General features: G+C 40.1%; 1 protein-coding gene across 3 annotated transcripts in view; it reads right to left on the bottom strand.

Annotated features, from left to right (window-relative positions):
• HSFY1 (heat shock transcription factor Y-linked 1) overlaps positions 1–27,424 on the bottom strand; it is a 59,321-nt gene that overhangs the window by 10,821 nt on the left and 21,076 nt on the right. The window contains exons 3-4 of one of the 3 annotated variants that reach the window (NR_003510.1): positions 27,274–27,360; positions 26,072–26,226 (exon numbers count right to left, since the gene is read on the bottom strand). The exons of 1 other annotated variant lie outside the window; for it this stretch is intronic. The gene's annotated coding sequence lies outside the window, so the exon portion shown is untranslated. Of the gene's footprint in view, positions 1–26,070; positions 26,227–27,273; positions 27,361–27,424 lie in introns of those variants that run through there. One more of the 3 variants, XR_007068453.1, reaches the window with a different exon arrangement.

Raw genomic sequence — 27,424 nt, 5'->3', positions numbered from 1 at the left:
AACACCTCTCACTACAACTGGGATTTGTCTACCTAAATAGACATTTATAAAATTTGCCTCCAGTGTATATTGAGTCAATGCTACTGAGGCATTTAAATTCCTGACTGTTATATTATCTTTAAAAGTTTGTTCATATGTTGATATTTCTTATTTTGTCTGTCACCTTACAAGTTATATATTATTATCCCTCTTTATTGCTTGCATTTTTCTTAAAAATCTCCTTTGCCTCATATAGTATCAGTGGCCTTACTTTTTTGACAAATACTTGTTAATTTTCTCTAAACCTTCATTTTCAATATTTCAGTGTCATTATTTCAAGGTAAAAGCAATTTTTTCTCTCAATCTAATATGAGTATTTTATATTTTAACACAGAAATTTAAACAGTTTATATCTAATATGGTTACTCTGTTATCTCCATAACCGATATCCGATTAGACAGTTGTTCTACCCTGGATTTTCTTTGTCTCTGCCTTTGCCTCCCATTTGCCTTAGTTTTTCTCTTCCTCTCCCCACCCACCACATGTTTTCCCTAACTGTGTTGATTTAATTGTCTTACTCATATTTATTTCTTTTCCTGCTTTTGACATTAATCACGATATTTCTACCCTTTCTGTAGTTAGTCAGTAGGACCCAGTTAGTTAACTTTTTTCTAACAAAGTAAAACATTTATTAGCCCCATAAAAAAAAATTCTTGTAATACCTCCTTCATTTAGAGGTTTACTTTCCTTCATTCTGTAAAAAGAAAGAAGGAAACTTTTATTCTTCTTTTCCTTGGTCTTTTGATAAGTCTTTGATATTTGCATAATCTTTGTGAGTTGAAACTTTGTTTTAAATACCAACAGTGTATGTGGAATCATATTCTGTGTAGAGATTATTTTTGTATTCTGCCTGCTGCCCTTTCTACACATTTTTGTCTTACGGTGTTTTTCATGAATGTAGATGAAAGCTTCCTACTCTGAGCTTGACTTTCATAACTTCTCTTTCATAGATGGTCACCAGATAAAATGAAGGCTTCTCGGTTACCTTTTCATTTTAAATAAACAACAAAAAGCATTTTAGTATAATTGTCAATATTCTTGTAACTTAGTAATATTCTCATTATTGCATGGACAGACTTATACTAAAAATAATTATTTGTTTTTTGTCAACAAATTGTCAAATTTCAAATTAAAATGTGACATTTAAATTCCTGTATTTTCTCCCTACATGTGGCAACCTTACTTTGAGATCTACTTAGGAAACTACTTATTCTTGCTATATTTATACTGAATCTACTGTATAAGAAACAAACAAAAAATTCTTTGATTTCCTTTAGCATGTGCTTCATTTTTCAATGATGAATAATTGTCTATTTAAAATATTTATTTGTGTCCTGCTACTCACCTGTTTTTGCCTTTAGATTCTATTTCTTCATCTCAAACAATACCTAAGCCTAATTATTATGAAGACTCGTGATTTAACTTTTTGTTTTTGAGTGTGACGCCTAAGTGTCTTCCTGGACTAGCCCGTAGGGCATGGAATGTCCACCATTGAATTAGCAATGTTGCCTTTGAAGTGGTAAAGCAATCTTAAGTTCTTGAATGCAAAGTTATTCTTGTTGGGGGGCAGTTTTACGTTAATCTTTCCAGATTTTTAAGAACTTAATTGTTCATATCTAGTAGTTTATACCAGTCTGATTTCGAGGAAGTTATATATTTTAGGTACTGTGAAAATCCTCTCCTCAGTCTTGAATATACCACAGGATAGAGGTTGAGTTATAAATCTTTCTTTCATGGATTTGAATGAAAATCTCATTTTGTGTTAGATCCTAGTATCTGTGGGCATGGCTTTTGGTATTGACTGAAATGTTCCCACTGAATGTCTGAACAACACCTACTTTCAACAATTATTTAGGAAGGGTGTCCAGCCCCACTGAACAAAGAAATGGTCTCTTTCCTGGGAATATATCCAACATTACTCCTCAATTGACTATTTCAACAAACTACCAATGTTGATCTCAAATGAATATTATTGGAGTCCAAACCACAGAAACGATTTCTTTCTTGATATTGAGTTTATTTTTAAAATAATTTTGTCTTACACTTATAATCTCTTGCTTTCATAAGAGTTCCTTTTGCAAATTTTCACTTTGCTCCCGAGAGCTAGAAATAAGTGCTTGATTTCTTTTAATTCACTCATTACATAACAAATAAAACCTCTTAGAAAGGTGTTATTACTATATCCTTTCAGCAATTGTGGCAAGACATATTTTTGCTTATATTTTCTGGAAGCATTGCCAACTATATTATCTTCCCAAGTGTATGGCAGGTATTCTATCTTTTCTTCCTTGATCTATATTATTTATATGCTATCAATCAGTTTCACATATATTATGAAGACTTTGAGATCATTTAATTTTGGTGAAGACTTTATTTTATACAATCATTTTATTGTAGGTAAATCACATCATGTCATTCTGTGTAATAATATCATCCCATGATTTGCATTACGAGATTTCCTTTCCATGGTACTTTAAAAGCCTTTCTATAACTTTCACTTTTTAGAATTTCCAGTTACAATGCAGCACGCCAGTGTTTCTGACATAATGTTAGAAAACAAAGTCTCTGAAATCTAGAAAGAGGAAGACAGTTTCTCTAGGGACTTCACGACTTGAAGAGTGATAGTATGATACCTTTATTGGATTCTTTTAGGTCTTCCATACAATATCCCAGATGATGGACTGTAAGAGCTTTTAGTTGAGAATCTCCAATAGGCACAGATAAAAAGGGCTTCGAGGAAATCCTCTTCTCTCCCAGTCAAAATACCAGGAGAGCATGACCTTCCCAACACACAAATCCACAAAACACTTCTAGAAGGAATAATGAAGCTATTCCAGCACGATGGAACCTAAGGGGTTACAGAACAATTCCACGGACAGCGTGCTGCTGAACCATGGGAAGGTTCGGGGCCCAAGGAAGGACCCATCCCATAAAGATGGAATGGGAGCCGGATCACCTCCCAGGGTGTACCTAGTTATCCGACCCAGGACGCAAGATTTGCTCGCTAATTCAAATGAAACCTACACCCCAACCTATGAAGAGGAACTGAGGGTAGGGAAGTGGGTGAATGTGTGTGCAAGAGTAGGGTGATGTGTGTGGGGCTGCAGGCCTCTTAGCGTAGACCGTACATCCTGAGTGAAGTGTGGGACTGACCAGGACTACGGGCAAACGTCCTCTGGAACTAGCACATATGGCTTAGTGAGGCACCCCACAATTTAGTGATTGTGGTGGTCTGGGTTCAGGGTTTATACAAACCCTCCATTAAAGCTAAGCAGCATCTGAAATACTCCTGCAAGGGAGGCTGTCTAATCAGTGTGAAGCACAAAAGTAAAAGTGTAAGTGCATGGTGCCATAACTGTGAGGAAATGGGAGGGAAGTCGTCAAAACCCACCGCATTATAATGTATGTTAAAAAGTTTAAGAAGGGAATTATAGGATCAAGTTGACTCCCCAGAGATAAAAGACCGTTTGTGAAATGGAGTGTCCCTCTTTTAGTGTCACGTGGCCAGCTGAAAGAACAACAGATAGGGGAACAATTGGCCATGTACATCAAGTGGTGACTGGGGTCAGAGGACAGCCAGGGCATCTAGACTAATTTTCTTATCTTCACTCATGGCTAAATATCCTCCAAACTTGAGCAGGATGGCTACAGTCCTACCTGATGGCTTGTTGCAAAACACTTGTGGCTTGAGCCGAGCTTAAAGTACAAGAGGAATTAGCTTCACCACCAGCTATGGAGAGAAAGGAAAAGCCACAAAAAGGGCAAGAAAAACTGGCTTTACAGAAACCACAAGAGGAGACAGAAATCCCTCCTCCCTATACCCCTATCTGCCTCCCTTTACCGAGGCCAACGGCCTCTGAGGAGTCAATTCAGAAGGTGACACACCCCAGGTTTCACCCCAAAGGGAGAAATCAGAGCCCCTGTCCCAGGAGGTCAAGGAGGACTGTCAGAATAATCAAGAGAGCTGCCTCTGGTCTGGCCATGCCCCGGTTCTGCAGATGCCTCTCAGGGAGACTTGGGGACCCCTCTACTATGATGAACATGGCCATATTCAATGGGGGGCAATGGACCTCCATCTGCCAGCCTATTTTAATCACTGATCCCCTAAACTGGAAATACCATATTCCCTCCTACATGGAGAAGCCCCAGGCCCTCTTAGATCTGATGTAGTCTATTTTCCAGACACATAATCCAACTTGGCCAGATAGTAAACAGCTTCTGTTGCTGCTGTTCAACACTAAAGAGCACCGATGGATGGCTCAGTCAACCCTCCACTGGCTAGAAGCCAATGTGCCATTCCAGGCATACGCTCAGTTCCAGTTCCCAGAGGAAGACCCCCACTGGGACTCACATGCTTTGACCCAGTTTCAGCACCTGCAGAGGTACTGAGGAGCCCTCCTGCAAAGTCTGAAGGAAGGCAGAAAACAAGCAGTCAGTATATGAAAAATCTCTAAAGTGCTTCCAGAAACTGATGAGAGCCCTAGCCAATTTTATTAGAAACTCTGTGAGGCATTCTGGCTTTACACTCCTTTCGACACTGAGGATACTAAGAATCGGCAGATGGTAAGCACAGCATTTGTAGGACAAGCCCAGGGGGATATCAGGTAAAAACTGCTGAAGCTAGATGGTTTTGCAAGCATAAAGGCAACCCAGCTTTTAGAAGTGGCCACCAAGGTGTACATTAACTGTGACCAGGAGGCACAAAGGGAGGCTGATTGGAGACTCAGGAAGCGGGCCAATCTGCTAGCGGCAGCCCTCATGGAAAGGGAAGCTATCGTCACAAGCAGACGCAGATACAGATGCAGATGTGGAAGGGGCCAAACAGGGCAGAGACTCAAAAGTCAGCTGAGACTAGATAGGGATCAATGTGCACAATCCAAAAAGAGGGGACACTGGAAAAATAAGTGTTTAGAGGGCAGTAAAAGAAATAACAGTGGACATAAATCTATAAAATGGCCAGCCAAGGACCACCACACCCTAAGGGGGCCAGGCATCAACTTGATGAGGCTGGTAGAGACTGAAAAATATGAAGACAATGCAAGACTGGGCTGCATCTCCCAAGGCCCCCAGGAGCCCGTGATCACAGCAGAAGTAGGGGATCAACAGATGGACTTTATGGTGAACACTAGCACTAATCACTCAGAAGTGATACAGCCCATAGAGCCACTATCTAAACACGATGCAACTATTATTGGGGCTACAGAGGTCCCAGAAAAGAGGCCATTTTTCTGGCCAAGGAGTTGTGTCATAGGGGGACAAGAAGTCCAACATGAAATCCTATACCTCCCAAATTGCCGAGTTCCCTTACTTGGAAGGGACCTGCTCCAGAAACTGCAGGCACAGATTGCTTTTGGGACACACTAGGATATAACTTTAAACCTAACTCACCCAAAGGTCATGGTGTTAACCCTCATCATTACACAGGCTGAGGAATAAAGAATATACACATAACAGTCACCGGAATTGTCTCAAAAGCCTGGGCTGGAGAAGTTATTTATGCTACCTGGTAAAATTTTTGGACTATGGGCTAAGAATAACCCACTGGGGCTGGCTCTAAATCAGGCACCAGTAATAGTAAAGCTAAAACCGGGAGCAACCACAGTTGAGGTTCTCCAATACCCATTTCCCTGAGAAGACACACAGGGCATTCACAAACATTTAAAGTGACTTTTCAAACACAGAAACTTCGTCTGGCGCCAGTCAACCTGGAACACTCTACTCCTACCGATACAAAATCCAGGGTCTGGTAAATATAAGCCAGTGCAAAACTTACATGATGTGAACCAGGCTACTGTAACCATCCACCTGGTGGTACCAAACCCATACACACTAATAGGACTCATTCTGGCAAGTGCTGCCTAATTTACTAGCCTGGACTTAAAGAATATTTTTTTCTGTCTTCACCTGGCACCAGTTAGTCAGCCCATCTTGGCATTTCAATGGCACGATTCAGTCACAGGCATGGGGGAGGAGCTCACATGGGCTAGACTCCCACAGTCTTTGGAAACACACTGGAATCAGACCTTAAGGCCCACACCCCACCAAATGACAACTGTGCCTTGCTACAATATGTTAACAACCTTCTCCTGGCAGACCCAACGCCAGGGGACTGCTACCAAGGAACCCAAGTCTTTCTCCACCATGTTTATAGAAAACTGGTTATAAGGTATTCAGAAAGAAGGCCCAATTTTGCCAAGAAAGCATAAAAAATCTGGGATTCATAGTAAGCCAAGGGGAACACTGGCTTAACAGTGAGCAAAAGCAACGTGTTTATGCACTCCCAACTCAGGCCACCCAGTGCCAAATAAGAAAATTCTTGGGGAAAGCATGGTTCTGCTGTATATGGATCCCAGATTTGTTACTAATGGCCAAGCCCTTACATAAGGGCACAAAGAGGGGGGAAAGGGAACCCCTCCTTTTGGAGGTTGTCCAGGAGAAGAAGGTGTTTAAACAACCCAAACAAGCCTTAACTAAGGCCCTAGCCATAGGACTGCCAAATATAATCAAGCCTCTCTTCATGAACAAAAGGGATTGGCTATAGGGGTCCTGAGTCAAGTCATGAAATCATGACATCACCCAGGGGTGTACTTATCGACACAATTGAACTCTGTGGCCCTAGGGTAGCCTCCTTGGCTTAGGGCACTAACTGCCACCTCCTTATTGGAACAAGAAGCTAAAAAACTGACTCTAAGACAACAACTGACCATCCAGGTACCGCATTCAGTTCTAACTTTAATGGATTAGACAGGGCACCATTAGTTATCAAGTCCGAGAATGACTCGGTACCAGGTGCTCTTATGCAAAAATTCCCACATAACTTTCAAAATAATAAACACCCTTAAGCTGGCTATCTCCTGCTCCCGATTGAACCTGGAGTCCCCTTTCATGACTCTATGGAAACAGTAGACACGGTACTCTGAATCCAGAGATACCTTACAGAACAACCCCTTTGGAACCCAGATGTTAAATGCTATACATATAGAAGCAGCTTTACACTGAAAGGTGTCCAGCAAGCTGGGTATGCTGTGATGATATTAGACTCAGTGGTAGAAGCTCAGCCACTGCCCACCAGAATGTCAGCCCAAAAGGCAGAGCTAATAGCCCTAAGGAGACCATTTTGCTAGCAAAAGGCGAAATGGTCAATGTTTATACAGATTCCAAATATACGTTTGCCACGTTGCATGACAATGGGGCTATATATAAAGAAAAAGGACTCTTAATGGCTGTAGGCAAAAAAATAAAGTACAAAGAAAAAATTCTGCAACTCTTAGATGCTGTATGTGCTTCGAAGAAGATGGCTGTTATGCACTGCAGGGGGCACCAAAAGGCAGGAACACTGGAGGCCAAAAAGAACAAAAAGATAGACAGAGAGGCAAGAGGGGCAGCAATGACTACCCTTCAGTTTAAGAAGAAAGCCATAGCTATGCCTCTACTTCCAAAGCCTCTCCTCTCGGAGGTTTCAAGTTACCTCCAAATGAGAAGCCCTGCTTTGCCCAAGAGTCTGGAAAATATATAAAATGTTATGGTGAAAATTCTCCAACAGGAGGCTAGCCAACCATGAAACAGTGGCTCTAAAATTTGTAAGACAATTCTATCAAGGAACCCATATGGGTAAAACGTCACTGAAAACACTATTAGGACACCATGTTTATGTGCTGCGGCTGCCTGCCATCACTTGATCCATCTGCAAACAATGTCTAACTTGTGCCCAGAACAAGCTATGACAAGGGCCCACTAGGCCCCTGGGAATTCAGGAAACGGGAGCCACACCCTGTGAAAAACTTCTTATAAACTTCACCAAACTGCCCCAATCAGGGGACTATCAGTACCTACTGGGGCTTGTCTGTACCTTTTTGGGATGGTTTGAGGCTTTCCACACCCCAACAGAGAAATCAGGAGAAGTAACTGAAGTACGGTTAAGAGATATTATCCCCAGATTTAGACTGCCTCTAACTCTGAGGTCAGAAAATGGGCTGGAATTTACAGCTGAGATAATTCAGGGACTAACATGGCTGTTAAAAATAAAATGGAAACTAAACACAGTCTACCTGTGACAAAGCTCAGAAAAAGTAGGATACATGAACTAGACACTCAAACAGCTTCTAAAAAATATTGCCAAGAAACCCATCTGGAATGGAATCAAGTCCTGCCCATGGTGCTCCTCTGAGTCAGGTATACCCCCACAAAACAAACTGGATATTTGTCCTATGGAATCTTCTGCCGGCCACCCCCAATCATAGCTCAAATTAGGGGTGACATTTGTGAACTAGGGAAATTAACTTTAAGAAGGCAAATGCAGGCCTTAAAGACAGCCATGCAAGTGGTCCATGGCTGAGTATGGGAAAAACTGCCCATAAGCCTAGCAAAACCAGCATACTCCTTTAGACCTGGGGCTTCTGTGCACATAAGAAATAAAATCCAACCACTTTAGGACCCACATGGGATGGGCCCTATACTCTAACCTTGTCCACTTCCACGGCAGTTAAAGTTGCAGAAACTGTGCGCTGGATCCTCCACAGTCAGTTAAAACTGGCAGCCAACATGACCCAGATCACTGGAGCCAGTTAATCCTGTGACAGGACCAAGTTGCCATGAGAAATGATGACAGCCCTGCTCTGGTCACTCCAAAAGCTGACCAGTCTCTGCTCAGCTAAAATCTGAGGAGTCAACAGCCCTGCTCTAGTCATCCTGGAAGTTGACTAGTCTACGTACGGTCAAAGCTGGAGTAAAATAATAATAAAATAATGATTAAAATCTTAAATCAAATCGTTGTTTTACTATCGTTCTGTCACTTTCTTCAAACTCCTCCGCTGGGTAAAAACCTCTTCTTTTCCTCTTGGATATAAACATGTTACTCTTTACTTAGTTCCTACTCCAGGCACAGGGATAACTAAGCCCACTTCTTTCCCTCCTAACTGTAATACTCCCCTTATTTGTGTCAGAAAAGGAGACCATAGAAGAGTGCCCCCACTACACTCACAATACTCAGTCAGGGAGCACCATAACCAAAACCCTGTTATACCACATTTATCAAAAGTAGACAGGGACCCACCTAGGAACTTGTACTCACAACCAGACAACTTACTCAGTCTGTGACCCAGGAAACGGCCAGCGTTATGTATGTTATAACCCAAAATTCCTACCTGGGACCTCTTTTAAAGTTTATGGGTCAAAAGAAGGAAACCTGCCACACCAAACCAAGGCCTCACCCTCCCACAGGGGAGTTATGTCCTTATCTTTTAATATGTGCCAGTTAACATTGATGGGCACAACCTTTCCCATAATCTCCAATTCTGAAGAGCACCGTAATAGTTGTCACAAAAATATATGTGCACCCCTTGCTTGCTTTGCCAATTTCTCAGACAACTTGCTGGAACTGCATAATTCAGTCCTCTAACCTGCAATCGCCGGGGCCAGTCATACTTACCAAAATACCTGAACAAAAAATTGTAAGACAAGCTGTTGCAATCTTGTAAATCTCACCATCTTAAACCGGATCTGCCCATATGGAATGCAGGTTTAAAGACTCTGCTGGAAATACAAGGTAGTGGCCAGAAAACAGACTCAGAAGTCTATTGATATATTATCAAGAAATCTTGGATACATTCCACCCAAAAACTCCAAGTTTATAAGTCATTCCTTAAAAATATCAACCAGAAAATATTTGAGCCCTCTCCCTTAACCACAATCCCGTTTGCTTAATTGGCTGAAAACATAGCCGGCAGCCTACATAACTCCTCATGCTATGCTTGACGGGGCACCAATGGCCATGGGAGGCAAGAAAGCTAATGCCCCAAAATAACTTCACTCGTACTGTCTCTTCCCCCGAACCTGTGTTCACAAGCAAGAGCATCTGGTTCTTAAAGACCTCCATTATCAGAAAATTCTGCATTGCTCGTCGGAGAAACACATTTACAGACCCAGCAGGAAAGTCAACTTGCCTAGAACAATATTACACTAAAACACTAAGAAACACTGTCTGTTGGAGTAAAAATAATTCCAAACCACCCCAACCAAGCCCATTTTCCTGATTCCCTTCTCTAAACCATTGTTTGTACCAACTTAAAGCTCCCAATACCTGGCAGGTGCCCACTGGCCTCTATAGTATCTGTGGGCCATAGGCATATTGGCCGTTGCTGGCTAAATGGTCAGGGGCCTGGGTACCAGGAACAATTAGGCTGTCTTCTTTCTAATCCCCTTGGAACAGGGAGAATCTTTAGGATACCCAGTCTATGATAAAACAAATACAAAACAAACAAAAATTCAAAAGACATAACCATAAGAAATCGGTAAAACAATAAATGGTCCCCTACAAAAAAAAAAAATCGAATACCATGGCCCAGCCACCCAGGCAGAAAATGGAATGTGGTGATAGTGCATCCCTATTTTCATGCTCTACCACCTCATAAGGTTACAGGTGGTGCTGAAAATTATTATTAATAATACTGCAAATGCCCTAAATCTGCTGGCCCAACAAGCCACAAAAATGAAGAATGCTACTCATCAAAATCGACTGGCCTTAAACTACCTCCTAGTCCAGGAAGGAGGGGCATGTGGAAAGTTCAGTCTAAAAAATTGCTGCTTAGAAATTAATATCAAATTAAAGGTCATCAAGAATATAACTGCCAAAATCCCAAAACTGGCCCATGTTACAGCCCAGACCTGGAAAGGATAGTCTCCAGTTTTCCTATTCAGGGTCTCGTTTTCATCCCTTGAAGAATTTAAGACCTTAGCAAAAATAGTTCTAGCCATACTAGGATTCTCCCTTGCTCTCTCTTGTCTCTGACCTTCCTTGTTAGAAACATTCAAGCAGCCATGGAGGCCATGCACGACCGCTCAACTAATGGCTCTAACTAAATACCAACCACTGACAAATAGGGAACTGCCCCACCTTGAAGAATTAAATGGTGATTATATTCTCTATTAAACCTCATTTAAGAAAAGCATCAAAGGTGGAAATGAATTGGGGAATGCTAAAAAACAACACCACACACACACAAAAAATTTTCTCTGTACTGAGGTGACTCACTCCAACACCCAGTGATAAGCCAGAACCTGTTGGGGCTCTAATAGCACTATTAGCAGAGCTAGGGCCTGGAAAGAATGGATTTGAGAAGCAGGAATGAGAAAAACAAGTTCTTCTTATCAATTTCCCCTCTTTAGAACTCTCATGCCACACCAATATTCTTTGTGCTGCTCTCACAGCTATTTTTATAACCACTTCTGGAGGTTTACAAACATTTTGAAAGTTGCTGTTGTTTTTCTATCCAAGTATTATTGCAAAGGTCATGAGACATGCGTGAGTTACAACACCTGTCACTTTCTTTAAAAAAGTGTCTTTGTTCTGCTTCTATAAGCTTGCTTGCCCATCCTGCAGATTTCATGCCACTAGCTGGCCAACCCTCTTTGGGTGCTTGTGTTAAAAGTCAAGCCCTGTCTTTGTTCAGGGCTCAGCCTTTAAATGCTATTCCACTAAGTCAAGCTACATCCAATAAAATCCTCCTGTTCCACTCATTGGTCTCTCCTGTTCCTTAATTCCCACAACAGTAGGAGATTTGTCCTTTATTCTAGGGATGAGCAAACAGCCAGGCCCTTTTCTTCTGGCACCATAGTGTTACTCTTCAAATATGAAAGCTGTTTTCACAAGTAAGGCCACCTCTTCATCCCTCCCAAATGTTGGAAATACATCATCTTACAAACATTTCCAAACATCTGGTTAGCAGTTTTCTGGTTAAAGTCATGGCTTTCAGAAACATACAGAATTACTTAAAGAGGCAAGGGGTTTTGAGAAGTTTGATTTTGCTGATTCAAGAGTAAATGTGCTCTGGAAAGCACTCTGTAAGTCCTCATCTAGAGCCTGTCTCTGCTGGGCAGTTTCCTTGGGGCTGATCATATGACAGTGAATCAAACCAAACTCGTTTCATCCTGAATTTCTAGCCACTGAGGCAGATGATCAGTAAGCTATTACTCAGTACTGCAGCAGGGGTGGGCTGAAGCAGGTGAGTAGGGGCCATGGCCACAAGAGGGAGTTTCTGACAGGCAGCCATTTGTCACAGACCTGGGAAAGGGAGTAAAAAGAACACAATAAGATGAGGGAATTCAACTGAATAACTTGGTGTTCTGCCTCTGAGATGGAATGTCGATTATAATATTGGCTTTAAAAATTATTGACTGGGCTCGTTGGCTCACGTCTGTAACCCCAGCACTTTGGGATGCTGAGGCAAGTGGATCATGAGGGCAGGAGATCAAGACCATCCTGGTTAACATGGTTGAAACCAGATCTCCACTAAAAAAAAACAAAAATTAGCCAAGCGTGGTGGCATGCACCTGTAGTGCCAGCTACTTGGGAGGCTGAAGCAGAAGCATCACTTGAACCCAGGAGGCAGAGGTTGCATTGAGCTGACCACTCAACTGTACTCCAGCCTGGGCAAGTTGGTGAGAGTCCATCTAAAAAAAAATAAGAATAATAAAAATAATTTATTAAACAGCATAGTGAGTAGCATTGGTGTTATTGAGAAATTTTTATATTCCTCATTTCACTTGTTCATCTGGGCTCAAAGGAAATTGAAAAGTCTGAAATTTACTGTTTCTGATATAAGGTGCCCAATGGACGTACTTCATTTCTTTCCGTTGTGTCCAAAGATCCTTCAGTATTCCACTGTGTAGTTACAAAATATACACCAGAGCAAAGAAGTAGTTTTTCTTCCTCTTTCTTTCTTAACAAAGAGGTGCTTAAATAACATTGCTATCTTGAAATTACTATTCCATATAAGAAAGAAACCTCATTTATGAGTAACTTTTTTCTTCTTGTTCTTCTAGCACAGAGGATGTTACATTTCTGCCTGTGGAAATGATCAACTGTCTCTTCAGTTATTTTAATTTTATGAGAAGGATTGAGAAGAGATGGCAGGTGTAGATAGAGTAGATAGAGAAAAAACTGTGTTGCTTTTCTCCTATTTTTGAAACTAACTCAGTCCCTGTTGATGACTTTAGAACAAGGTGAGCAAAAAGTTCAGAGTCCTATGGTGAACCTATATATTTTTCTGCTTATTTGCATTGCTAACTTACCAAAAAAAAAAAAAATAGGTTATGGCTAGAACCAGAAGAGAAAGGTCAGCATAGTTGTCTCTGAGAATGAGGTCTATTTAAATATTTGAGATGTAGGGACCCATGCCAAGATGCAGAGGGAAAAGACAATTTGTTAAAATATGGGCCTTCCCTGGAAAAAATAGAAGTAGGAGAAACAAATATGTGTATATTTTCAAGAAGCAGGTACAAGATATTGTGCAAGTAAGGTGCTGGAGTGGTTACTTTTCAATTCAGAAATAAGGAGGAGATGAAATTTCATTTGGGTCTCCAACAGCATATCAGGCTTTATGACAGAATGAGAGTGCCACAGGTTGAGGAGACAGTGAAGGCAAATGCCAAGCAAGGAAGATACAGCCATAGCCCAGCCCCAGCAAGCAGGTTGGTACAGATGAAACATTTCTAGTACAACGTTGGTGGTGTTGTGGGAAATCAATCTGGAAAGAAAAAGGCAGATTATCAGAGCCCAGAATACCAAGGCATTGGACTCTGCCAGAACGGAGACACTGCACATGAGATACATATCTTCCCTTCAGGGAATGCCTAGTGCAGATGACCACAGGTATCTGGCAGGCAGAGACTGAATTCACAGAGAGCCTTGACAGGGCTGTTTCAGTATTCCAGGCAGATGATGAGGAAGACCCCTCTTGCAGCCACAGGACAGGGAGTGGGAATGTGCCAGCGCTGGTTACTGGGTGGATGGAAGATAGAGCGTGAGCGAAGAACTGGGATAATCACTCCTGTGATGAAGCTGGTGCTGTGGAGTTTCTGCATGTGTTTGGAGGGAAACTATCAGAAATGTGGATGTGAGGCTATGTATAGAGATCAGGAGTAGAATAAAAGTTATGGAAAGGGTCCACATCCGAGTAATTGCTAAAACCCTAGGAGGGGCCGCCGTCCACTTGCAGGACTCCGTTTCAAAACAAAACAAAACAAAACAAAAAACAAAAAACATAAACAAAAGCCAATTAAACAAAAAACGGAGCTTAAACAAGAGGTTGTCAACGTCAGATAGCAGGCAGTAGAAGAAACCAAGGGTGGAGGTGGCTTCCATTCCAAGGTTGCTTACAGGGACATACACCGCCTCCCTCCTTCCTCTGCACCTCTGCTTCCCTTCTGTGTTCTGATTCTGGCTTAGCAGATACATTTCTCTGTCCAGTTAACACACATTCTAAGTCTTGCTTGAATTACACCAACATATGATGTTCCCAAGACTCCTGGTTAATTCAAATCTAAAGCACAGGCCACTTGAAGGAAATTAATCGCTTCCTTCATTGAGATGACCTATTTGCCTTCTGTTGATGATAGCAATGACTTCAATTTTAAAAATCAGTTCACTGACATACATGCTGTAATTTAAAAATTGCGATTATATTACGGCCTTTTTAAACACTTAAAATATTTTACAAATGTATTTGTGTATTTCCTGCTTTGGTGCCCATGTGTTTTAAAGAGGATGATTCAGGAATAAGTGAACACTGAAAAAATGAATTAGATTTAAAAAATGAATTAAGAATGAGTAATGAAGAAACCAAAGACAAATGTGCTCACTGTGAAAATTCCTTAGAGAAATACATAAAAATCATTCAGTGGAAGCAAGACCAGGAGTCAACAGATAAGTTGCCAATGCCCATGGACAGGGGAATCTGTGGGTGGAAGACATCCAGGGCTTCTGTGGTTTATTTTAACTGCTTGCAATGGGTATCTTTCTTCCCCATTGAAGACAAGAAGGTAAAAAGGCATTAAAAATCCAAAGTTTATATGGATCCTTGCGTCTTTCAAATGTTTCACTCTTTTGAGAAAAATTTATAGTTTTTTGCTTAAGATAAAATATTTAAGAGATTTTGATTTGTCAAAGTTTGTAAAGGTTGAGATGACTTACTATTTTAGGAGTAAGAAAGAAAAGACTTATCATCATATAACAAGTACATGAGTACTGACATTAATATTTTATGTAAGTCTGAAGTATCCTGGTGTTAAAAGCATACCTGATGGTTTATTTTGATGTACTTGCTAAATTTTATTTTTAGAAGTCACCACAGTTTTTAGGCTTTTAAATTACATATATGTTCCAATAATGGTTCTTAGGGCAATGTATTTTATAAAATTAATGCATACCTAATTTCAAAATCATTCCCTTTCCCCCATGTAATCAGTGCTCAAGAAGGATGGTCCAAGAATTCTCCCTGCAGGCATGCTTCAATCTAGTGACAAAGTCAAAATGTACCTGGTTTCCCAACACAGCGTGTTCCATACACAAACCCTGAATGGTTCCTTTAGTCAGCCAAGAGAAACTATTAGAAATTTGCATTAAAGAATTTATTGATTCATTAAGAATTACTGACTATAAAACCTGTAAGCTAAGGCAGAAACTCCCCAGGGAAGAAACTGAGAACATTATGAAGATACCAAATAAACCCGAAACAAAATTTTTGATTTTTTTCTATCATAACTGTGGTCTTTCCCTTAATAATTTAACAGGTTAAATAAAATCCTGAGTAACATATTTAGCTCTGCTACTCTAGAGAGTAACTGTTAGAACTAGGTTTCTTTATATTCCTGAGTAAATCTTTCCATCAACTTTTGTACCATCCATTTGAAAAATAAGCAACTGCACAGGGGCCCTTGTTTTGTACTTTGCCCAAGTTTCAGCCTTGTTAATCTTACAGGTAGATGGATTTAATTTGCTACAAAACTGGTCAGAAAACTTTTAACTTTATACAGATAACTACAAAGTGCTAGTGGCAATTTTATGCCCAATACTGCACCAGTGAATTATAATATTTTCTTAAATTGCTGAAGAGATTTTTGCCAGAAATAAAACAAGTAGCATTCACAGACTTGATTTTATAACAATGTGAAATCTTTGTTATGCACATTATTCAAATGTGACACCATACTGAGGACAAAAAAAAAAAAAATGATAGGATTTATTATATGGTAAAAACACAAGTAAATGAAGCTAACATTCTATTTCATTACTCTTAATACATCCACAACTATTCCCACCTAAATATATCTTTAAAATAAGTATGCATAAGTATCGACCATTATCTACAAATATTTATTGTAACACTTGATTGGAACTTCAAGAAGCCCTTGGCACTGATTGAAAATATTTTCTTTTTTTCTTATTTTATTTATTTATTTATTTTTTAGACAGAGTCTCACTCTGTTGCCCAGACTGGAGTGCATTGGTGGGATCTCAGCTCATTGCAAGCCCGCCTCCTGGGTTCCTCCCATTCTCTGGCCTCAACCTTTGGAGTAACTGGGACTATAGGGGCCCACTACCATGCCTGGCTCATTTTTTAACTTTTTAGTAGGAACTGGGTTTTACCGTGTTCGCCAGGATGGTCTCGATCTCCTGACCTCATGACCCATGCACCTCAGCCTCCCAAAAATGCTGGGATTCAAGGATTGAAAATGTTGATTCACTTTTAGATGTTGAAAATTTATACATAGCACGATTTCATGCTCTTTACATAAAAATGTCAGACTACTTAAACAAAACTTTCAAAAATTCCTGTAGCTACCAGAATTAGAAAAGTAAAATTAGGGTGGAGACACTGCCTCTTCTAGAACACTGGACTCTGATGTACCACGACTGCTGGAAAAAAAAAAAAAAAGTTAAATCTGTCATGCAACAGGAAACAAAACACTAAAATATTTTGAAATAGCCGTCCTACACAGAAGACAGCTTCTCCCAATTTTAAAAAAAACACCCCAAATAGGCGTTTTTATGGAGTAATCAAAAAAAAAAAACCCTCAACTGATATATGATACTTGATGTTCAAGTTTAATAGCACCCTGATAAAGGTATGCTTCCTTCCTCAATTTTGAATATATTTCTGCACATGTATACTATAAAATACAGGAAACAGTCAAATCGTGTTAATTCTTAACATGAATATACATAGTTAATCCTAAATTAAGCAGCCCATTTAAAAGCACTGATGTACCCAACAGTTACATACATTATTTCATAATGAAAAACACAAAGATTACCATCACTAATACCCAGTACCTCCTGCATCAGCCTTCCGAGTAGATGGGACTACAGGCCACTGCCACCACGCCCGGCTAACTCTTTGTATTTTTAGTAGAGATGGGGTTTCACCGTGTTAGCCAGGATGGTCTCGATCTCCTGACCTCCTGATCTGCCTGCCTCCACCTCACAAAGCGCTGGGATTACAGGTGTGAGCCTCCATGCCCAGCCACAAGTAATTAAATTTAAATTGAAAGGTGACATTTCAAATGTATTATTATCACCCTGCACCTGGCAAACTTACTTACAGATCTACTTAGGAAAGTACTTATTCTTGCTATATTTGTGTGGAATCTACTGCATAAGAAACAAACAAAAAAAAAATTGAGTTCCTATAATATATGGTTCATGAACCTTCATATATGGTTCACTTTTCAAAAATGTATAATTGTCTATTTTAAAAATTTATTTTTGTCCTCCTACCACCTGTTTTTGCTTTTAGATTCCATTTCTTCATCTCAGAGAACACCTAAACTTACTCATTTTTTATTCAACTTTTTATCCTTGGGTACGACCCTTAAGTGTGTCTTCCCTGGCTACCTCCTAGGACGTGGAACATCCATCAGTGAATTGTTAATGTTGTCTGTGAAGTGGTAAAGCGATCTTTAGTTCTTGAGTGTAAAGTGATACTTATGGGGGGAGTTTTATGTTAATCTTTTCAGGATTTTAGGAACTTAATTGTGCAATCTAGTATTTTATACCAGTTTCTGCTTTGGGGGTAGTTATATTATGTAGGTAACATGAAAAATCTAACCTCAGTCTTGCATATCCCACAGGATAGAGGTTGAGATAAAAATCTTTTCTCATCAATTTCAATAAAAAACCGCATTCTGTGTTAGATCCTGCTATCTGCAGGACATGATGTTCTGTACTGACTTAAATATTTTACTTAAATGTCTGAACCACACTTTTTTTCACCAAGTATTTAGGCAGGGAGCCCAACCCCGCTGAACACAGAAATGGTCTCTTTCCTGGGAATATATCTAAATTTACTGCTCTGTTGACTGTTTCAATGAACGACCAAGTTTAATCTCAAACTAATATTGCTAAAGTCCAAACCTCAGAGCTGTTTCTTTTCTTGATAGTCAGTGTGATTTTTTAAAATTTGTCATACAGTTATAATCTCTGGCTTTCATAAGAGTTGCTTTTGCAACTTTTAACTTTGCTCCAGTGAACTAGACATAAGTGCTTGATTTCTATTAAATCATTTGCCACTTAACAAATAAAACCTCTGAGAAAGGTATTTTTACTATAACCCTTCTGCAGTTGAGGAAGTACATATTTTTGATTACATTTTCTGGAAGCCTTGCCAACTTTATTTCATTTCCAAGTGTAGGAGAGGTATTTTATCATTTCTTCATTGATCTATATTATTAATATGCTATAAATCATTGGCTAGTTTACATATATTATAACAAATTTGTTGGGAACAGGCCATGCTCATGATTGCTATGATGCCCATGCTGAAGGTTGTTGGTTTACCAGAATGAGGGCAAGAAACAGCTGGCACACCCAGGGCAGAAAACTTCTTAAGGCATTCCTGAAACTGCCTCAAGGACAAATTATTGCTGCAGTTAAGTAGCCAGAGCCCATCCTTTGTCTCCCATTTTAGTTAATCTATAATCTATAGAAATAATGCTTATCACTGGCTTGCTGTCAATAAATATGTGGGTACAACTCTGTTCATGGGTCTCAGCTCTGAAAGCTGTCAGCCCCCTGATTCCCACTCCACACTCTCTATTTCTGTGTGTGTGTCTTTAATGCCACTAGCGCTACTGGGTTATGGTCTCCATGACTGATGTGGCTTCGGCAAGTCGTGACCATACGGGGGAATCAAACCCAGGTCAAAGAGTCACCAAAGTGAGGGTGGGAGAATGTGGAACTACACTGAAGGACACCTGGCTACTCTTAAGAAATCCCCATGGTGAGTAAGTAGAGAAGTTCGGAAGCATCAGGGTTACAATGGGACAAGTGTGGGCTCCAGTTCTAGATTTACAGATTTTTTTTTTTCAACTCAGCATTCACCTACTGGTGTTATTGTTCAAGGGCAATACCTTGTAGAATGGATTTTTTTTCCACGTACTAATTCATGGACTTTGACTCCTTATTTGGATCAAATCACTACTATGATAGGAAATGGAAGAACTTAGATCATTAAATTACAAGGATATCATCCTGGAAAAATTATTGTCCCCCTTACAAAGACACAAATACAACAGGCTTTTACAAATAGCCTTACTTGACAAACACATTTATCTGACTTTGTATTCTTGATAACCATTTTCCAAAAACAAAATTATTTCAATTTTTGAAATTAACTCATTGGATTCTCCCTAAAATAACCAAATTTAAACCTATTGAAAATGCTAAAAATATCTTCACAGAGGAGTCTAGTAATACCAAAGCTTTTTATTCTGGCTCGAAAGGTAAAGTTTTCTGAATGCCCTATACTTCAGCTCAAAAGTCGGAGCTTGTAACTGTAATTGAGGTATGGACTGCTTGTAATATGCCTATAAATGTGATTTCTGATTCTTCATATGTGGTTCATTCTACACAGTCGGTTGAAAATGCTCAGCATGATTCCACACAGATGAGTGACTGATGAATTTACCCAATTACAAAGAGCAGCTAGGAGTAGAATGCACCCTTTTTACATTACTCATATTAGAGCTCATACATCTCTTCCAGGACCTTTGACTGCAGGGAATCAAATGGCTGACCACCTATTTGCTGCTACAATATCTAATGCCAAACACTTTCACAATTTAACCCATGTTAATGCCTTTGGTCTCAAATGCAGGTCCAGCATTACCTGGAAAGAAGCTAAAGCTATTATCCAGCAATACCCAGCTTGCATTCCTCATCTTTTACAGGAAGAGTTAATCCTTGAGGATTGGAACCTAAGGATCTTTGGCAAATGGATGTCACACATGTTTCCTCATTTGGGAGACTAACTTACGTACATGTATGTGTAAACACCTTTTCTCACTTCGTCTGGGCTACGTGCCAATTAGGAGAGTCTTCTGCCTGTGTTAAATGTCAACTTTTGCAGTGTTTTGTGTTGATGGGCAGTCCAGCTTCTATTAAAATGGACAATGCCCTAGGCTACCCTAATGAAGCTGTAGCGACATTTTTCTCTATATGGAATATTAGACACATAACTTGTATCTCATATAATTTTCAAGGACAAGCCGTAGCGGAAAGAATGAATCTCTCCCTGAAAGAGCAGTTGCAAAAGCCAAAGGGGGAATCAAGGACTACGGGATACCACATAGGAAATTGAATGTAGCATTATTGACTCTAAATTTTTTGAGCCTGTCTAGAGGCCAGATGCTATCAGCAGCTGATCAGCATCTGCAGAAACCAGCTGCAAAGACAGAAGCAGAAAAACTGGTTTGGTGGTGAGATCCAATAACAGAAAATTAGGAAATAGGTAAAATAATAACATGGGGTAGAGGTTATGCTTGTGTTTCTCCAGGACTGATCAACTGCCAATGTGGGTGCTACTGAGATGCCTAAAGCCCTGCTTATGAGCCAGATACCCTGGAAGAGGTGTTAGGAGGATCTCAAAGATCCAGCGGTGGCAGCATTCTCTAAGTTGATGCTGAGGAGTACCCCAACTATCACGAGCAACACGCATTGAACACAGCCACCTACCTGGGGACAGATCAAGAAGCTGCCACAGATGGCAAAAGAAAACCTGAGGAAAGTAGGACAATGAGTCCCCCATATAATGATAGCTATGATACTGGTGATCACCATTGCCATGAGTATTCCTTTGCAGGGCTGACACAGTTACATATGCTTTCTGGTCTCAGTGTTTATCATAATGAATCTGCTCCTAGAATTGAGGCATACTGCCCTCAAGAATCTAATTGTAAACAGAAATAGACACGGCCAGAATAAATGAATGTACTTGTTTTAGAAAATTGCATTGCAGAACATGCAGAGGTGCTCTGCAACGATTCCTATGGAATATTTATTGATTTGTCCCCTAAGGGGAAGTTTAGCTTAAATCGCACCTCTCGGTCTGTGTGCCAAGGCCACACTATGTTCAGCTTGTCTGACCAAAATGGTCAGATGGTAGAAATGGTAAGAGATACAGCAAGAGATCTTCTGGAAACATGGAGGTAAAATGGCACCTCAACAACAAATGATACAACCCGCTCTAGGAGCTAAACATTAGGATTTGTGGAAACTGTTATTGGCTCTTAATAAGATCAAAATTTGGGAAAGAATAAAAAAGCATCTAGAACGGCAATCTGATCAAAATTTGGGAAAGAATAAAAACGCATCTAGAAGGACATTCTACAAATATGTCTTTGGATATTGCAAAATTAAGAAGAGCAAATATTTGAATTATCCCAGGCACGCTTGATCTTAATGCCAGGAACAGGAGTGCTTGAAAGAGCTGTGGATGGATTAGCTGCTATTAACCCATTAAAAAGGACAAAAACACTTGGAGACTCTGATTTAAAGATGATTGTGCTTTAAATCTGTGTTGTTTGTCTTTGTATAGTCTGCAGATGCAGATCCCAAGTCCTGTGAGACGTAGTTCACCGTGATAAAGCCACCTTTGCTTTTATCGAATTGGAAAAACCAAAAAGAGGAATATGTAGAGAACAGACCCCCAAATCTGGCCATAGACAGGCCCCCAAACTGGCCATAAACAAAATCTCTGAAGCACTATGACATGCTCATGATGGGTATGACACTCACACTGAGGGTTGTGGGTTTACTGGAATGAGGGCGAGGAACACCTGGCCCACCCAGGGCAGAAAACCGCTTAAGGCATTCCTGAACCACAAAGAATATCATGAGCGATCTGTGCCTCAAGGACCTGCTCCTGCTTCAGATAACTAGTGAGAACCCAACTCTTTGTCTTCCTTTTTACTGAATCTACAATCTACAGAAACAATGCTTATCACTGGCTTACTGTCAAATATGTGGGTAAAACTCTGTTCATGGCTGTCAGCTCTGAAGGCTGTCAGCCCACTGATTCCCACTCTGTACTTCATAATTCTGTGTGTCTGTCTTTAATTCCTCTAGCACAGCTGGGTTAAGGTCTCCATGACCAAGCTGATCTCAGCAGACTTCTTTGAGATTATTTAAATTTGGTGAAGACTTTATTTTATAAAAATCACTTTATTTTGGGTAAATTATGTCATGCCATATCTTCCCATGTTTTGCATTATGAGATTTGGTTTGCATGGTACTTTAAAAGCCATTCTCAAACTTTCACTTCCTAGGATTTCTAGTTACAATGCAACACCCCATTGTTTCCTCTGAACAACTGAAACACCACAGATGTAAAGACAAAAAACAAGGACAGGATCTGAAAGATAGAAAAAGGAAGACAGTTTGTCTGGGGACATAAGGACTTGCAGAGTGGTATCATGGTCACTTTACTTGGTTTTCCTAGTGTCTTCCGTATATCGCAGATGATGGACTGTAGAAGTTTCCAATCCAGAATCTCCAATAGGCACAGAAGAAAAGGACTTCAAGGAAATCCTCTTCTCTCTCAACCAAAGGACAAGGAGAGGATGACCTAACCACACACAATAGCATGAAACACTTCTAAAGGTAATAACCAAACTATTCCAGATAAACACTACCAGAAAATAATTAATAAATAAAATAAAATAAAATTAACTAGTATTGCCATTTCTGTGGAGCCATGTACAGAGACAGTCTTCTCAACATGTCAGTGATGCTCTCATTCCCCATGAAGTCAAACTAGTCAGCAACTTTTTTTTTTCTTTTCGTTCTTTTTTTGTTGTTGTGTTTTTTTTTTTTTTTTTTTTTTTTTTTTTTTTTTTGAGATGGAGTTTCTTTTTGTTGCCCAGGCTAAAGTGCAATGACACACAATCTCAGCATCTCAGCTCTCTGCAAGCTTTACCTCCCTGGTTCAAATGATTCTCCTGCCTCATCCTCTCAAGTAGCTGGGATTACAGGCATGTGGCACCACACCCGGCTGATTTTGTATTTTTAGTAGAGATGGTGTTTCTCCATGTTGGTCAGGCTGGTCTCAAACTCCTGACCTCAGGTGATCCACCCACCTTGGCGTCCCAAAGTGCTGGCATTACAGGCATGAGCCACTGTGCCCGGCCAGAGAGAATATTCTATCACCCTCCTGGAGAAAGCAGAGGAGAGCATTCTAATTCCCTTATGTCAGCAGACTCCGGTAGCAAGCTGAGCATACAGGTCGACCCAACAACCACAGTTTTTAAAGAGCCAGAGCTAAGTAGGACAGATTGCACTGTGTGTCTTGCCTGCTGTCCCCACTACCCTCCTCTAACCTATCCTGTCAGAAGGCTTCAGTGGGGAGTTAACCATCTACCACAAACCACCCTCCTAGGAACTGAACAGACAAAGTAAATCTAAACTAGTTAGCACTCTGCCATTTCCCCAGATTAGAAACTGTATCATCTACAGCTGCTCCAAAGAACATCAAATGTTTTGATATGCATTTAAACAAAAGAAAACAGGTATGAGATCTGTATGCTGAAGCATATAAAATACTGGTGAAATAAATCAAATAGAAATAATAAGAGATACACGGTGTTCATGGATGTAAAGATATAATATATCATGTTAATTTTCCCCAGCTTGATCTATATATTTGATGCAATTCCTATCAATATCTCAGCAAGAATTTTTGCAGACAATGCAAACTTACTAGGATAGCTAAGACAATTATTAGTGTTTAATATATAGTGGGAGAAATCCATCAACAACATTTCAAAGACTTATTAAACAGCTAAAGTGATCATGACAGTTTAGTATTGGCATAGAGACAGATTCGTGTAAAAAATGGAGCAGAAGAGAAAGCCCAGGAATAGAGCCACACTGGTGTGGATATGACCAGGTAATATGACATAAATCTGGCAAGCAAAAATCAGTGGAGGAAAAACAGCCTTTCAACAAATGGTGCTATGGCATGTGGACATCCATAAATTTAAGAAATAAAGCCTTAACATAAACATTACTCTACACAAATTAACTCAAAATGGCTCATGAACTTCAATGTAATATAAAATTATAAGACATTTTATAAAACATTTTCAGAATAAAAGAATCATAAGAAAATTGAAGCCTCTTAGTTGTAGCAAAGTGTTATTACATTTGATACCAAAAGCATAAACCATAAAAGGAAAACCGATAAACTGGATCAAATCAAAATTAAAAACTATTGCTCTGTGAAAGTTCTTATGAAGACACTAAAAAGCCAGTCTGCTGCAGAAAGGGGTACCCTTCCTGCTGATCCCTGCAGACCATGGGAGGAGAGCAGTACCCTCTCCGCTGGGAGCAGCAGCTGCAGCAGAGAGCTGCAGAGACCTGCAGAGTCATGTAAATGACTTGCCTGCAGAGAGGAGCCTCCCTCTCTATAGAGTGAACACACCATGGGAAGACCTGCCTATAGAGAAGAGCTACCCACTCCTTTGTGAGGTATTGCTCCTCACAAGAGGGCACTAGCTGTAGGGGTCTGCCTGCAGACCCTGACCCAAAAGATGGATGAATAAAGCATAAACTGACAAATATTCTGCTTTGCCAGTACAGCTGGGTGTCCAAGCGCCTGCACATCAAGAAATGTTTTTTACTGTGACCGGCCCTTAGAAGCTTGCACTCCAGTCACTTAGTTAGTATGTGATTAACAACAGAAACTCTGAGTCAGCACACTTGTACATAATTAACATGGTTGAGAGAGTAGTTCTATGAATGATTAAAGCTCAGGTACCGTGGTCTAAAGTAAATTCCATTAAAGGGCAATATCCTTGGTCAACCTTCCTCCAAGAGGGCAATCTGCCTTAAAGGTTAGTTAATGGAGGTAAGGTTAACAAGCTTAAATGGGGAAGCCTCTATTGTCCCTAGTATTTATCCTATGACCTAATGCTCTAAGGTAAGAACTGGCTGCCTTCAGCCTGTTCAATTATTACAAGCTATGTAACCTTTCAGCCTTCCAAAAGGTTTGTGACTATTCCCTATATCTTTCCCTAATATTTCCCTTTAGTATTTCTGCTACCGTCCTGAGTGAACACCAATACTTTGAACTGTTTTAACACTAAATAGAACTCTTCTTCTTCTTTACCCTTCACTTGACTCTCTATCTCATTCTCCCTGCACACAGGACAAGAACTCAAGGAAAGGCATCGTGGTCACAGAGGTTTCTGGCAAGTAAAATTGACACCACAGTGATCCCATAACAGTAGCACTAGAATTTCTGTCTCAGATTTTTACTTGAAAGTTAAACATTTGGGGGACCGTTAGGAGACTCCGGACCATATTTTGACATCCTATTTGTTCATCTGTAGCTGGCTTTGTCTGATACCACCCTAACAGAGGGAAGTGTATACTTGTCAAGTAGGGCCACAATTCCAACTTCCCGTCTTCACTTCCTTTGACACCCAAGGCAGTGCTCCTCATTACTGATAAATAAATATGCAGATTCCAGCTTCAACCTAGGTGTTACTTGTACCTTCCTGGCTAGAAGTGGAAGGGTATCTTGTTACCACACGGCAGGGTTGAAAACTCTAGCTCTCTACTTTACCTTCCCTGATTCCACTCCGGCAGAGGGTTGGGTTGCTTCATTAATGCCTGGTGCTCTCTATGTTCCAACTTAAACTTTGTTGTCCTGGCTAGCTTTTTTGGGTCGTTTTGTTTTGTGTTGTAATGTTTGACGAAAGTAGGATGGCTATTGTACAAAGATTTTTGTCTTAATAAGGTGTCCCTTTCCTAGACCTGTGTCTATAGAGGCTGGAGCTTTTGGGGGACAATTCTGTCTATACCTACTTATATTTGTCGGTACCAGCTCCTTCAGGATCAAGTCTGTGATAACACCAGGCAAAAAGAATTCAGGGAACTCAACCATCTTATCACTTGTTGCATCTTAAATTTCCTCACCAGTTTATCTTCTTGCTCCATCCTTCAGTCTTATGTTTGCTTTATATATATCACGCACGGATATTAATTGCATTTATGTGAGGGAGAAAGTACATCTTCTCCATCTACTTTATTACTCAAGTGATGACTCAAGATGAAGAACGTCCGTGATGTTCCTTTTGGGCAGAAAATTCAAAGTAATTTTTGTTATTGAAACAGTTTAAGCTAGTTTAACCTAGATAGAGAGAGAATACTTAAGAAGGTACAATGTCTTTGTATGAATCCTAGAAGAAGCTAGGATATTTTCTGGGTTAGACTGCTCTGTGATTGGTTACATTAAAATCTTGTAAGGATGTTCCTCAAAATACAAAGAATTTTCCGAGGGTGGGAATGGACAGATTTTCTAATCATGCTGATCACTTTATGTTTTGCATTTGCTTACTCTTTTTCCTCCTTCACACTCTCTCTCCTCCTCTCTGTGCTTATTTTACTGTTGCTTTTGTTGTTTGACACTCGTCTTATTCGGGCCTTAAACTTACAATAATGTATTCCACATGTTAACCTGTCTCATTCCATCTTTCATTACTTTATCCTCACTTTCTAAACTGTCATTTCCTTTTTTCTTTCTTGCCTTGCTGTTCACCCAAGTTATTCTTTTCATTTTTTATTGTGTCTGGCATTAGCCTTTTTATTGTTGTGGATTTCTTTAAGATGAAGTCTTACTCTGTCACCCAGGCTGGAGCGCAAAAGCAGGATCTCAGCTTACTGCAACCTCCGCCTCCTGGGTTCAAGCGATTCTCCTGACTCAGCTTGGCCTCCCAAAATGCTGTGATTACAGGCCTGAGCCACCACCCCAGCCGGAATTTTTTTTTTAAACATTCTTCCTGTTAACCATTTAACCATGTCTATCACACTACCTTCTGAAAACCCAGTTTGAGAACTAAAAAGTTAATAGCATGTGGATATAGGTGAAATGACCTTTGTCTTTCTGTCATGGTCTGCCAGGAAAGGAAATCAGGATTCCCTTTTTAGATGATGGATTCTAAACTTTTTCTACTTATGCACAACTTGGAAATATACGTATATGGTTAGATGGCACCACTAGGTTTCCATCCTGAGGAATCTGGCTGTCCAAATCCATGTTCATTTTCTGCTATCCCAGAAAACTGCATGGTGAATCTTGTCAGACCTTAGCCTGTGACACCAAAAGCTGCATAATATACCAAATCCACAGTGAATGCTGCTTCCGAAAAGTTGTGCAGCTGGATCCCCAGTGTATCCCATTTCATCACAGCAACCAGGAATCTCCACTGCAAATAAAGGAAGGAGTGGTAAGGATACAGCTAGTTCTTTCAGACAAGGACCTGCTACTCA

The sequence above is a fragment of the Homo sapiens genome, chromosome Y (genome assembly GCF_000001405.40).
Source record: "Homo sapiens chromosome Y, GRCh38.p14 Primary Assembly".
NCBI lineage: Eukaryota > Metazoa > Chordata > Mammalia > Primates > Hominidae > Homo > Homo sapiens.
Note: the sequence above shows the minus strand (reverse complement) of the source record. Positions and strands in the feature narration are given on the sequence as shown.